Below are 14,901 nucleotides of genomic sequence, written 5' to 3'. Positions count from 1 at the left end.
TCTAGGTAAATACCCAGTAGTGGGATTGCTGGATCAAATAGTAGTTCTACTTTTAGTTCTTTAAGGACTGTCCACACTGTTTTCCATAGTGGTTGTACTAATTTACATTCCCACCATGTTGCTGGTTTCTTCATTTAAAGTTGAGGCATTTGCGGGGTACAGTGCAATGCTGGAAAACTGATTTGTGCTTGGTAATTAATTTTCTATGTTTGCCTTTGATATCCCCAAGGAACAACAAAAAGCAATGACTGACAAATGGTTAGAAATAAAGTCTGAAACTGTTAAGAAAGATTTTGCCTAGAAATATATATATTGTGTTAGATCCTTTGTGCCCTTTTTCAACTATTGCGTCTCAACTCCAAATTTACTCTTCCATACTGTGCTTTGTCATACTGGGACAGGGACTCTGTAAACTACATTTCTGAGACCCCTTTGCCAGCTGGCTTCCTGTTAAATTCTGGAGAGAGGTGGGAAGGCAGGCAGGACAAAGAGACAATCACCTTCCTTCTTCCTTCTTCTCTTTGCTTAGTGTTCCTGTCAGTGGCACTTAGCCCCAGCTGCAACAGCTGGCTTCTGCTTGAACATTTTTGGCAACTCACATCTAGCCTCATCACTGGCCCTCAGAGATCCCTACGACATCAACACTGGGCCCTAGAGGTCCAACTACAACCTGGTCATAAACACCCCTCAGTGGCCTGAGCTCCCACTACATAGGTCCCCTACTCTGAGGTTCTAGAGCTTTTGACAATCCCAGTTTCCCCTGTTTGGTTCCCCCAGGGCTAGGTTGGTAGCAGCTTCCTCAGTAATATCTCCAGGTGAGCCCAGTGCTCCCTTTTGTCCTTTCTATCCTCTAATACATGTGTAAACTAATTCCTCTAGTAAATTCCCTCTGGTGAAATCTTTCTTGTGGTTTCTATTTTTCTGGCTGGGCTGTGACTGATGTACTTTGGGTATATAAAAATGAATAATAACCTTCCCTACCCTTAAGGAGCTCACAGACTAGTTAGGAGATGAAGATAGGCAAATAAATGTACTAATTTATTTTCGAGGTAGTGGATTGGCCATTTTATTTCCTCTCCCAACCAAAACCACAATAAAATGATAGCAAAGGTATTAAATACAACAAACTCTAAGTGATAGAGAGAACAGGAAACAAAGGAAACACATCAGCAGAGAATCTCAACAAAATTCTGGAGGTTAGACAGTATAAGATGTGTTAGTGATTAAGTAGGGCAGAGGAAACCGCATCCTGGAATATGCATAGAGAGGGTGTATTAGACTGCGCAATTCATAAAGAAAAGAGGTTTAACTGACTCACAGTTCCACAAAGCTGGGGAGGCCTCAGGAAACTTATAATCATTGAAGAAGGTGAAGAAGAATGTATTAGTCCGTTTTCATGCCGCTGATAAAGACATACTTGAGACTGGGCAATTTACAAAAGAAAGAGGTTTATTGGACTTACAGTTCCACATGTCTGGGGAGGCCTCACAATCGTGGTGGAAGACGAGGAGGAGCAAGTCACATCTTACGTGGATGGCAGCAGGCAAAAAGAGAGCTTGTGCAGGGAAATTACCGTTTTTAAAACCATCAGATCTCATGAGACTCATTCACCATCACGAGAAAAACACAGGAAAGACCCACTCCCATAATTCAATCACCGCCCCCTCCCCCCAACAACTGGGTTCCTCCCACGACACATGAGAATTGTGGGAGTTAAAATTCAAGATGAGATTTTGTTGGGGACACAGCCAAACCATAACAGAGAAGCAAGCACCTTCTTCACAAGGCGACCAGAGAAGGCAGGAGGCAGGTGCCACACAGTTTTAAACCACCAAATCTCATAAGAACTCACTCACTATCATAAGAATTGGGAAACCACCCCCATGATCCAATCACCTCCAACCAGGTCCCTCCCCCAACACATGGGGATTACAATTTGAGATGAGACTTGGGTGGACACAGAGCAAACCATGTCATTCTGCCCCAGTCCCTCCCAAATCTCATGTCCTCACATTTTAAAACACAATCATGCCTTCTCAACAGTCTCCCAAAGTCTTAACTCATTCCAGCATTAACACAAAAGTCCAAGTCCAAAGTCTCATCTGAGACAAGGTAAATCCCTTCCACTTATGAGCCTGTAAAATCAAAAACAAATTGGTTACTTCCAAGATACAATGAGGTGATGGGCTTTGGGTAAATGTTCTCATTCCAAATGGGAGAAATTGGCCAAAACAAAGGGGCTACAGAACCCGTGCAAGTCCAAAACCCAGCAGAAGAGTCAATGAATCTTAAAGCTCCAAAATAATCTCCTTTGACTCCATGTCTCACATTGAGGGCATGCTGATGCAAGGGGTGGGCTCCCACAGCTTTGGGTAGCTCTGCCTCTGTGGCTCTGCAGAGTACAGCCTCCATGGCTGTTTTCACTGGCTGGCATTGAGTGCCTGTGGTTCCTCAAGGCACATGGTGCAAGCTGTCAATGAATCTACCATTCTTGGGTCTGGAGGATGGTGGCCCTCTTTTCACAGCTCCACTAGGCAGTGCCTAGTGCAGACTCTGTGTGGGGGCTCCAACCCCACATTTCCCCTCTGTGCTGCCCTAGTAGAGGGTCTTCATGAGGGCTCCACCCCTGCAACAGACTTGTGCCTGGACATCCAGGCATTTCCATACATCCTCTAAAATCTAGGCAAAGGCTCCTAAATTCCTGCCTTCTGCACACCCACAGGCCCAACACCATGTGGAGGCTGCAGAAACTTGGGGCTTGCACCATTTGAAGCAACAGCCCAAGCTGTACCTTGGTCATTTTTGCCATGGCTGGAGCTGGAGTAGCTGGGACACAGAGTGCCATGTCCTCATGCTGCACAGAGCAGTGGGGCCCTGGGTCTGGTCCAAGAAACCAATTTTCCCTCCTAGGCCTCTAGGCCTGTGATGGGAGGGGCTAGCACAAAGGTCTCTGACATGCTGTGGAGACATTTTCCCCATTGTCTTGGATATTACCACTCAGCTCCTCGTTGCATATGCAAATTTTGGCAGCCAGATGGCTTAAATTTCTCCCCAGAAAAATGGGTTTTTATTTTCTACCACATGGTGAGGCTGCAAATTTTCCAAGCTTTTATGCGCTGCTTCCCTTTTCAACATAAGTTCCAATTTCAGACCATCTCTTTGTGAATGCATATGACTGTAAACTTTCAGAAACAGCCAGGCACCTCCTGAATGCTTTGCTGCTTTGACGTTTCTTCTGCCAGATATACTAAGTCATCTCTTTCAAGTTTAAAATTTGAAAGATCTCCAGTGCAGGGGCAAAATACCACCAGTCTCTTTGTCAAAGCAGCAAGAGTGACCTTTGCTCCAGTTCCCAATAAGTTCTTCATCTCCATCTGAGACCACCTCAGCCTGGACTTCATTGTCCATATCACTATCAGCATTTTGGTCAAAACCATTCAACAAGTTTCTAGGAAGTTCCAAACTTTCCTACATCTTCCTGTCCTCTTCTGAGGCCTTCGAACTCTTCCAACATCTGTCCGTTACCCAGTTCCAAAGTTGCTTCCACATTTTCAGGTGTCTTTATAGCAGTATCCCATTCCTCGTACCAATTTTCTGTATTAGTCTGTTTTTACACTGCTATAAAGAACTACCTGAGGCTGCATAATTTTTTAAGAAAAGAGGTTTAATTGACTCACAGTTCTGCATAACTAGGGAAGCCTCAGGAAATTTACAATCATTATGGAAGACAAAGGAGAAGCAAGCACCTTCTTCACAAGGCAGCAAGAGAGACAGAGAGGGAGGAAACTGACACACATTTTTAAACCATCAGATCTGGTGAGAACTCACCATCATGAGAACAGCATGGGGAAGACCGCCCCCATTATCCAATCACCTCCCACTAGGTCCCTCCCCTGACACACGAGGATTACAATTCAAGATGAGATTTGGGTGGGAACACAGAGACAAACCACATCAGAGGGCTAAGGATAAGGATGGAAGGTCTGCCCAGCAGAGCCCCCAGAAGGTCTACAAACTCAGAAACACTGATTACCATGGAGGGTGAGAGAAAGAGACAGGGCTGGACGCTGGAATTGGCTGACAGTGCATACGTTGGTTTTCTCTTTGTCCCTACCTCCTTGACCAGAACGTTTAGCAGTCACACAACCCCCACACCTCCACCACCAGGAGAAAGACTGACTTATCTCCAGTGAAATAAGACTGAACCATCTGGGAAGAACCAGAATAGACAATGTCAATGTTGTTGCCCCTCAACAAATCTCTTCTGGAACTTAGGGATCCCCCAGCTTAGCAGCAGTCTCGCTGGCCATGCCCTTTAATATGAAACCTACCGGTCAAAAAGCCTCACTCACAGGCACCCAGAACTAATTTTCTATTGTGTAAGTCTTCATTTTTAAGAAATCAAATATGTGCACATGTTCAGAATTTAAAAATAAAATAATATAAAAAGTCAAACTCTCTCTCTCCCTGTTTCCCACCCACTTCCACCCCAAAGGTAACACTTCTTATTAATTTCTTGACTATTATTCTAGAATTTTCATGCAAATATAAGAAAATATGTTTGCATATCCCATTTTCATTTAAAAATAGTATATGATGAACACTGTTCAGTTTATTTTTTCAATGTTAGCCATTCGAATAGATGTAAAGTGATATCTCATTGTGGTTTTAATTTGCACTTCTCCCAAGAGTAACAATGTTGAGTATCTTTTCATGTGTTCTTTTGCCATCTATAACAGTTTCCTATGGCTTGTGTAATATATTACCACAATCTTGATGATTTAAAATGATGGAAGTTTATTCTCTCATAGTTCTAGAGGCCCAAAGTTTAAAATCAGTATCGCTGAGCTAAAATTAAGGTTCAGCAAGTGTCTTAATCCATTTTGTGTTGCTATAACAGAATACCTGAGACTGGATAATATATAAAGAAAAAAGGTGTATTTAGCTTGTGATTCTGCAGGCTGGGAAGTTCAAGGGTATGGCCTTGGTTTCTGACAAAGCCAGAAGTGCTTCTTTTATGCTGCATCATAACACGGCAGAGAAGGCCAAAGCAGAAGTTAACACATGCAAAGAGAGAGGACCAAACAGGAGGAGGAACCTCACTTTATAATATAACAACTTGCTCCTGAGGGAACTAATCAATTCTCAAGAGAACTAATCCAGTCTCATCAGAACAAGAACTCACTGCTGTGAGAACAGCACCAACCCATTCATGAGGGATCCACCCTCATGACCCAAATACCTCCCACTAGGCCCCGCCTCCAGTACCACCACATTGGGAATCAAATTTCAATATTAGTTTTGGTGAGGATAAACCATATCCAAATTATAGCACTTTCATAATATGGCCTTCTCTTCTATGGATACTTGTGATTGCCTTAGGCCCACCTGGATAATCCAGGGTAATCTCTCCATCTCATAGTCCTTAATTTAATCACACCTTTTGCTTTATAAGGGAGTAGTCTCCCTTTTGCCATATAAGGTAATATTTATGGGTTCCAGGGATTAAGAATAGATACCTTTGGGTGCCATTATTTAGCCTACCACAATAGTCAATAGAAGAATTGGAAAATAAAGTTGAGAAAATCTTCCATAGAAAAAAACAAAAAAAATGTAGAGAAAAAAACAAGAGACATTTCAGATCAATTCAAGAAGTCAAACATCCTATCAGGTGTAGTCACAAAAAAAGATAATAGAAAACAGAAAGATGAAAGAACACTCTACAAGAAGGTACAATAGACTAATAAAAAATATCTATAAGGACACTAAATCAATCTAGCACAGCAGTAAGAGATAAACCCTCAAGCCAATAAATCAAGAAATAGTAACTTATCTGTAGATTAAAACAACAGCAACGAATCATTTTGCTCATAAATTTGCCATTTAGGCAGGATTTGGCAGGAGCTTATTTCCAGGAATCATCAACTGATATCGATCAAACTGGATCTGGAACAATGCATGTTTTAAATGTTTCATGCACAGGTAGGCCAGGCATGGTGGCTCACGCCTGTAATCCCAGCACTTTGGGAGGCCGAGGGGGCAGATCACTTGAGGTCAGGAGTTCAAGATCAGCCTGGCCAACATGGCAAAACCCCATCTCTACTAAAAATAAAAAAATTAGCCAGGCATCAGGGCGCAAGCCTATAATCCCAGCTCTTCAGGAGGCTGAGATGCGAGAATCGCTTAAGCCTGGGAGGCGGAGGTGGCAGTGAGTCAAGAACACGTGCCTGCATTCCAGCCTGGGTGACAGGGTGAGACTCTGTCTCAAAGAAAAATAAAAAATAAAATAAAATGTTTAATGCACATGTATGACAAGCTGATGCTCAATGTGAACTGGTAACTCAGTTAGGGCTGCAGAGCTGAGGGCCAAAGGCTCAGCTCCCTCAACCTGGATCACTCTACTTGTGTGTTAGGCTTCCTCACAGCAAGGTGGCTAAGTGCCAAGGACAAAAATCTCAAAAAAAAAATAAGGCAGAAGCTCATGACATTTTTAGGACCTAGCCTTGGAAGTCATATAACATCACTTCTACAATAGTCTATTGGCCAAGACAGTCAAAAAGGCTGTCTCCAAGGTTCAAAGGAAGGGCAAATACTCTACCTCTTGATAGGAGAAAAGCCAGTTTCTAGAGAGTTATGTGGAAAAAGGAGGTATTGTTGTGATGATCTTTAGAAAATATAATCTGCCTCAGTAACCTTAGCATATTATTTGGAGATATAAAGTTAACCAGAAGAGCTCAATATAGAGTAAGTTTGAAAGAATTAAAAGAAGTTGACCCTAGAGGATGAGACTGTAGCTGGAAAACAGTCGCAGAGGGGGTGAGAGGGACTGTGATTCTTTAATTTAAAGCCTTCTGTAATTTTTTTTTTTTTTCTGAGACAGAGTTTTGCTCTTGTTGCCCAGGCTGGAGTACAATGGCACAATCTCAGCTCACTGCAACCTCCGCCTCCTGGGTTCAAGTGATTCTCCTGCCTCAGCCTCCTGGGTTCAAGCGATTCTCCTGCCTCAGCCTCCCGAGTAGCTGGGATTACAGGCACCCACCACCAAGTCTAGCTAATTTTTTGTGTTTTTAGTAGAGACGGGGTTTCACCATGTTGGCCAGGGTGGTCTCGAACTCATGACCTCAGGTGATCCGCCCATCCCAGCCTCCCAAAGTGCTGGGATTACAAGCATGAGCCACCATGCCCGGCCAGCCTTCTGTAATTTTTTAAATCCAGGGCATGTACTAGTTTGATAATTTTTTTAAGAGTGCATTTAGAAAAATACAAATGTGGCTAAGATATTAGCTGCTTTCGTACCTTCACAAGCTGACACTTCTGGTCTCACATCAGCCAGTCCTCAGATATCAGCTTCTTCACTGGTTTTCGTGAAAAAAACAATCACTCCAAATTTGGTGATTTATTACACCATGCACATGTTTCACATTACACGCAATGAATTGTTACATTTAGGTTTTCCTAAAAGTAATGTTTAAATCACTTATCAAACTATTACATGCACTTGAGTTTTGAAATTCAAAAACTATAAACAGCTTACAGTGAAAAGCAATTGCCTCACCCTACCTGCTTTCTATTCCTACTCCATTCTCCAGGGTCAGTCTCTTTTAATGCTTTTCAACTAATGCTTCTTCTGGTGGTGTTTACTTTTAAAATCCTCCATTTGAAAGTTCTTGTGGCTAGGCATAGTGGCTCATGCCTGGAATCCCAAAACTTTGGGAGGCAAAGACAGGCAAATCGCTTGAGCCCAGGAGTTCCAGACTAGCCTAGACAACATGGCAAAAACCCATTGCTACAAAAAAATACAAAAAAATTAGCCAGGCATGGTGATCCGTGGCTGTAGTCCCAGCTACTACAGAGGCTAAAGTGGGAGGATCCCTTGAGCACAGGAGGTTGAGGCTGCAGTGAGCTGGGATTGTGCCACTGCACTCCAGCCTGGGCAAAAGAGTGAGACTGTCTCAAAAAAAAAAAAAAAAAAAAAAAAAAAAAATTCTCTCCTCCCAAGTCTCCTAAGTCTCTTCTCTGTGTCCTTCAATTTTCCTTCCAGCCCCAGTCCATAGCCTCCTGTTTGCCTCCATAACAGTAACTCATGCAGAGGTTCCTCTGGTTCTCTGAGTCCCAGGACAGCTCCCACCTCAGCCTGGAGGCCTCCACTTCAGCTCCTGAACAAGCTGGTCAAAGCTACTCCTCTTCAAAGGCTTGGATTTCCCCACAAGAAATTTTACACCTGCTGCTCATATAAAAGAAAGTGTCTCCTTATTTTATACAAATAAGTAAAATATAGAGTAATACAATCAATAATGAAAGTACAGTATTTTTAGTATCAAGAAATATATACCAAGAAAGAATGTCTAACGCTAAGGAAATCAGGAAACACATTCAAGAGGGAAGAAATAATTTAGGAAATAGAGAAGCCTTTTCAGATAGATAGAAAGACCTAGAAATAGTAAAAATCACATAGTGTATTAGGACAACCTTATTTTTGGAGAATAAAATTAAAGAGGAGAAGATGTGAGAAATGAGCCTTAAAAAGTTAATGTAAACCAGATGGTTCTTATACACAAATCTAAGGACCTGGACTTGAGCCCACAGTCCAAGAGTTAAACACTTAAATACCTGTAAATACCAAATAGATCATGGAAATTAGCAAAATGAGATCATATGAATGAGAAGAAGAATAGAAAGTATAGAATCCTGTGAAAAACAGGGGAAATCATGTCCTTCCAAAGAGAACAATGTAATTATTCTTATGCAAAAATGTAAGGCTGGCATTACCAGAGCTTCTGGGTTTTTTGTTTGTTTGTTTGTTTTTAATAAGAGCAGGCTATCTAGATTTCCTGTCAAATTTCCCAGTTGGCAACTATTACATGTTTTTCCAGGCTCACAGTTTATGGAGGAAAAAGTGTGTCTGTGTGTATTACACACACACACACACACACACACACACACACACAATTTTTTAAGTAAACTACGCACACATATATACATTTTTTAAGTAAACTAGCTTCAGCTTGTTTTAACCAACAGACCTCAAGTTTTCACCTCTCCCAAAACCAACAGGGAAAAAACATTACAACATTTTAAGACAGGGAAAGCTATGGTCAGTGTTAAAGATCACTCTGGCAGCAGGCTGTAGGATGGATTGAGTGTGGGGGGAGAAATTGAGTGTAGAGAGATGAGTTGGAAGGCTCTTGCAATCTACTGTTGGTAGTAGATGTGCTGACAGTCCAAACTGGGACTGTCCATTTTATTTTATAATCAATTATTATTTGTCAGTCCAAAGAGGTAAAATGGCATTGAGCATTTCTTACCAGACTTCAACCACAAAGGATCACTATGAACTTCCTTATTTCTGTAAATTCTGGGTGTTACATAGACTTTCAGAGATAGCCTGAATTTATCTCTTCATTACACTCCGTAACTTCCATTTTCTTTTCATAAATGCATGTCAGTAGTAATAAAAAGAAAGATTATACAGCTAGCTTTAGAAAGTCAGCTGGTTGAACCTCTACCCACTGCTTCTCTATTATATCAGTTTTAGAAGTAAACAGAGACATTTTCTGCAAATGGTTCCCATGTGCTCACATCTCTGAATGTAAAATAAACAGTGCAGGTCATGAAAACAGAGTGTTTTAAACAGAGAATTCCAACTGGGAAATTTGTCTAAACATGAACTTTATTTTTACAGTCATTTAAAGATGTCTTTAATCTACCTATTAAATTAACTTTTAAAAAGTATAAAATGGGGAAAGAAAAATAGAGGAGAGAGAGAGCTTATTCATCTATCCATCTGTTTTTCCATAACACTAAATACTTCCATTTCTAGGTGCTAAAGTATATAAATATGATATATATACAATTTTCAACACATAATTATTGCATCTAAGCAACAGATACAGAGAAAATTTTAGTTACTATCAGCATATTTGTAAGATTTTTCTGAACCAAATCTTTGCAAGACAGATCAAATGCCATCTTAGTTTTATGTTCCAACCAATTCAAGCAGTGAGAAAAAATGTCCCTAGTTCCATAGACAGGATCTGTCAGGTGCTAGCCAGGCTTAGCCCAGTCCTATTCCATGAGTTCACAGGATATCCCTGGGCATCGAGCCAATCCCACTTGTCCCCAGAATGCAAAGGAAATGAGATACTACATTAATATGTCATTTTGTGCCAGTCGGGCTTTGAAGATAGTCCAGGCTTCAGTGATATTATCAGCCATTTGCAGCCCTGACCAGCACAGGAAGAAGTCAAAACTCACATGCAGGAAGGGGAGCCAGGGCCTGCTTTCCCACCAAGCCCTGGGCTCTGGGCTTTGTTCTCACTATTTCCAAGCCTTCTTTTTTTTTTTCTATAAAGATATGTATGGATATGACCTTTCACCAGAGACCCTATGCTCATTGCTGTAAAATTCCCTTTCTCCATGGGGATAAAAATCAGCACTCATACCCACCGTGTGTTTTGGGTAAGTTTGTTCCTATTTCTCTCTATGGAGCTTCAAAGAGGGTATAGCTCCTTCTGAGATTAGAGTAAAGGGAAAGCTAAATTCCTGGGAATTCTTCTGGAACTGTGACAAAGAGAGATATGTTCCAGATATCCTGAGTTGAAAAGTGAAATACATTTTCTCATAGAAACGATCATTAGCTTCCCAGGCAAGTTCATAAAATCCTATTTAATCCATGGCATTCTTAGAATATTTCAGAAATTCCTATGCAATTCATCTACTCTGTTCTCATTTTTTCCCAGCTTGTTTTTCCTAGCTGACTAGTACGGATATGATCCTCCTTTGCCATATTCTCCAACCTTCTCCCTTCAAATTTACAAAGTCCTGTATGTGTTTTGTGTAATCTACTAGATACTAAAAACCTACATATGTTCAATTGATGAGTCTTGCAGTTGCAGTTGCCTACCCCACCTCAGGTCATTGACAGAGTATGGATATGTTTCACAGCTCTTTCTTTTCCTTCTGTGCTAATGACCTTTAGCTTTCATGGAAAGCATGGAAAAGTTTAGGGCCTCTTATTAAAATGGTGAATCTGCCAGAGACAGGCTCATTTCTAAATGAAATTTTTATGTGATATATATTGCTTAATGGGAAAAGAATAGATGGTTTATTAGTTGGGGGCGAGAAAACTGCTCACTACGCGGGGAAAAACAAATCACTCTTCTGAATCTTAAGATTACCCTTTCCTTGCATTTGAAGAGAAGAGGGGAAAAACAGGAAGAGAAGTACACTGAACTCTTGAAATGTACAGACTGGACAATTTTGATAGAGCTTGTCAGTGTTGGTGTGTGGGCAGGTGGCCCACTGCACAATCCACACATGGCACATGGTCCACCTTTGATGGGTGAATTCTCTATAAGCTTCAGCTTGGCTCCCATTTGCTGCCTCAGGACAGCCACCAGTGAAACTCACCAGGTTCCTGATACCCACCTCATTTCTCTCCACCCTCCAGCAGAGGGCTTATCACCCCATAACTCTAATCTCCTGTAAACTCTAATCCCATAACCCAGATGTCCTCCTCTCCTCTCCCCAAGGCCACAGATGAGGCAATCTCATTCTTCCTCAAGTTTCTTGCTAATTATATAGCTATAGTATAATGTGCCTAGATTCTTTCAGTTCCTTTCTTTTGGCTCTCAAAATCCTGTTTGGAAGAAAAAATAAGAAAAAAAAAAAAAAAGGTAGAGTGCGCAGTGGCTAATGCCTGTAATCCCAGCACTTAGGCCGAGGCAGGAGAATTGTGTGAGCCCAGGAGTTTGAGCCTCGCACCACTGCACCTCACTGGACAAGACCCACTGGCCTGGGACCCTAGCGCAGCCAGCCCCGCCTAACTCTTAGGTGGGGGGCAACTCTCCACTTCCCTGGGCCACGGCTCCTAGAGGATGCAGGCAGGCCACCATTTTTGCTGCTCTGCCATCCTCTCTCCTGTTGCCCCCCAGGTTCCTGAGGGAAGCTGTGATTAGGAACTAAGACAGGCCTCCAGCACAGCAGCGCTTCGTGGAAAAGCTGCCAGACTGTTTTCCATGGGGTGACAGCCCTTGCTCCTCCTCACTGGGCAGGGCCTCCCAACCTGGGCCCCCGCACGACCAGCCTGAACTAGGGAAGGAACAAAGGGCCTGCTCGCTACTCTGGAACCTCGAGCGAGCGCATGGCAGCCACCATGCAGAGAGAAGCCCAGTCTCTCTTCCCTGAGAGCCCCCACCCCCACTCTTCACCAGGCAGGGCCCCCAGCTCTGGACCACAGAGCAGCCGCCCCACCCCCGGCTGAGCACACCCATTTTGCTGGGGGCTCTGAGTTTCCCTGGAGAGGGGGGGCGGTCCCAAAGGCAACCGACAGCCCCTCTGTCGCAGCCACTGCATCGGTTCTGCCCTTGCTGCCCTTGGACTGGAGAAGGAACAGAGCCTGGAAATTTTACTGGCGCCTCCAGCACGCCACAGTCACCGCAGAGAGAGGGGCCCAGTCTCCTTTCCTGTGAGCCCTCGGCCCCCACTCTTCACCAAGCAGGGCCGGCTCAGGCCAGCAGCGCAGCCGTCTCACCCCCTGGCTGAACATTCCCATTAGCAGCAGCTCTGCGCATCTCCAAGATAGAGAGCTCCCAGAGACAACCAGAAGCCCGTCTCTCACTGCCACCGCAGCGGTCCTGCCCTTGCTGCCTTCAGATTGGGAAAGGAACAAAAACCCTGAGTGCTTTACCCACACTTCCAGCACACCACAGCCGTCCTAAGGAGAAGAGGCCAGTCTGTCTCTCCTGTGAGCCATCGGCCCCCCTGTTCACCACCAGGCCGGGCCCCTTGGCTTAGGCCCACAACCCAGCCACCTCACCCTCGGCCAATCCCGCTGATTGGGAGCGGCTCGGCATTTCTCTGGGATGGATCCCCAAGAGACAAGTGAAAGGACCTCTTCCACAGCCACCGCCAAGATCCCTTCCCCTGCTTCCTCCAAGCTGTGGAGGGAACATAAAGCCTGAGCTCGGCTCAGGACTTCAGTGTGCAGCCCGGGAGTGGCAAGCCGAGATCTGCAGCCAGAATCGAGGAGTAGAGGAGCCCAAACATTGGGAGTGCTGAGAGGGAGTACAACTACAAACACAAGGAAATACAGAGGACCCACATGGCTGAGCAAGAGCCTACCTAATTGGCCATTACACTTAAGCGCCATCTGCTGGATCACAGCCCAAATTTCAACACCAAAAACGTTTTGCTAATACATCCTCCTGTGAAACCAAAGATAAGAATTCACCTGTTAATACAAATAAAGACCCTGCACAAAGCCTCGGCCCTCTGAAAACATCCAGAAAACTGACTGTACTCAAATTACAGCACAGATAAAGGAACTTCAGCCCAGATGAGAAAGAACCAGTGCGAGAACTCTGGCAACTCAAAAAGACAAGAGTGTCTTCTTTCCTCCAAATGATGGCACTGGTTCCCCAGCAAGGGTTCTTTAACAGATTGAAATGGATGAAATGACAGAGCCAGAATTCAGAATATAAATAGGATTGAATATCATCAAGACTGGGGAGAAAGTCAAAACCCAATTCAAGGAATCTAAGGATTGCAGTAAAACAATCCAGGAGCTGAAAAATGAAATGGCTTTTATAAGAAAAAACCAAACTGATCTAATAGAGCCAAAAAACGCATTACAGAAATTATATAATACAATCACAAGTATTAACAGCAGAACAGACCAACCTGAGGAAAGAATCTTAGAGCTTGAAGACTGATTCTCAAAAATAACTGTCAGAAAAAAGGTATAAAGAAGAATAAACAAAAACTACAAGAAATATGGGATTATGTAAAGAGAGAAAACCTATGACTCACTGGCATCCCTGAAAGAGAGGAAGAGAAAACAAACAACTTGGAAAACGTATTTGAGGATATCATCCAGGAAAATTTCCCCAGCCTCGACAGAGAGACCAACATTCAAATTCAGGAAATGCAGAGAAATGACCATCTCCAAGACACATAATCATCAGATTATCCAAGGTAAACATGAAAGAAAAAATATTAAAGGCACCTAGAGAGAAGAGGCAGGTCACCTGCGACGGGAAATACATCAGGTTAACCGTGGATTTTTCTGCAGAATCTCTACAAGCCAGAAGAGATTGGGGGCCTATACTCAGCATTCCTTAAAAAAAGAAATTACAACTAAGAATTTCATAAACCGACAAATTAAGCTTCATGAGCGAAGGAGAAATAAGATCATTTTCAGAGAAGCAAATGTCAAGGGGATTCATTACCATTGCCTTACAAGAGGTACCTAAGAAGGTGCTAAATCTGAAAACAAAAGACCTTCACCAGCCACTACAAAAACACACTTAAGTACAGAGACCACTGACACTATAATGCAACCAAAGCAACCATACAATCAAGTCTGCATAGTAACCAGCTAACAATAAGATAGCAGCATCAAATCTACACGTCAATATTGACCTTAAACGTAAGTTGGCTAAATGTCCCAGTTAAAAGACACAGAGTGGCAAGTTGGATAAAGAAGCAAAACCCAACTCTACGCTGTCTTTAAGAGATCCATCTCACATGCAATGACACCATAAGCTTAAAGTAAAAGGATGGAGAGAAACCTACCAAGCAAACAGTAAACAGAAAAAAGCAGAGGTTGCTATTCTAATTTCAGATGAAATAGACTTTAAACCAATAATGATCAAAAAAAGATGAAAAGAGCATTACATAATGGTAAAGAGTTCAATTCAATAATAAGACCTAAGTATCCTAAACATATATGCACCCAGCCCAGGAGTACCCAGAATCATAAAACAAGTTCTTAGAGACCTATGAAGAGATTTAGATAACCACATAATAATACTGAGAGACTTCAACACCCCACTGACAGTATTAAACAGGTTATTGAGGCAGAAGGCTAAAAAGAAATACAGGACCTCAACTTGACATTTG

At 42.8% G+C, this 14,901-nt stretch overlaps 1 long non-coding RNA gene across 1 annotated transcript in view, besides 1 other annotated feature; it reads right to left on the bottom strand.

Annotated features, from left to right (window-relative positions):
• LOC101928387 (uncharacterized) overlaps nucleotides 1-14,901 on the bottom strand; it is a 120,046-nt gene that overhangs the window by 86,909 nt on the left and 18,236 nt on the right. The gene's annotated exons all lie outside the window — the stretch shown is intronic.
• Nucleotides 12,947-13,036: an enhancer, noted in NCBI's record as "active region_6083". NCBI's record gives its function as "activates an Ori minimal core promoter by ATAC-STARR-seq in GM12878 lymphoblastoid cells {active_cell/tissue: GM12878}" and the evidence as "EXISTENCE:reporter gene assay evidence [ECO:0000049][PMID:35858748]".

This window comes from Homo sapiens, chromosome 12 (genome assembly GCF_000001405.40).
Source record: "Homo sapiens chromosome 12, GRCh38.p14 Primary Assembly".
In the NCBI taxonomy this organism is placed as follows: domain Eukaryota; kingdom Metazoa; phylum Chordata; class Mammalia; order Primates; family Hominidae; genus Homo; species Homo sapiens.
The sequence above is the reverse complement of the archived record's forward strand: the minus strand, read 5'-3'. Positions and strand labels throughout refer to the sequence as shown.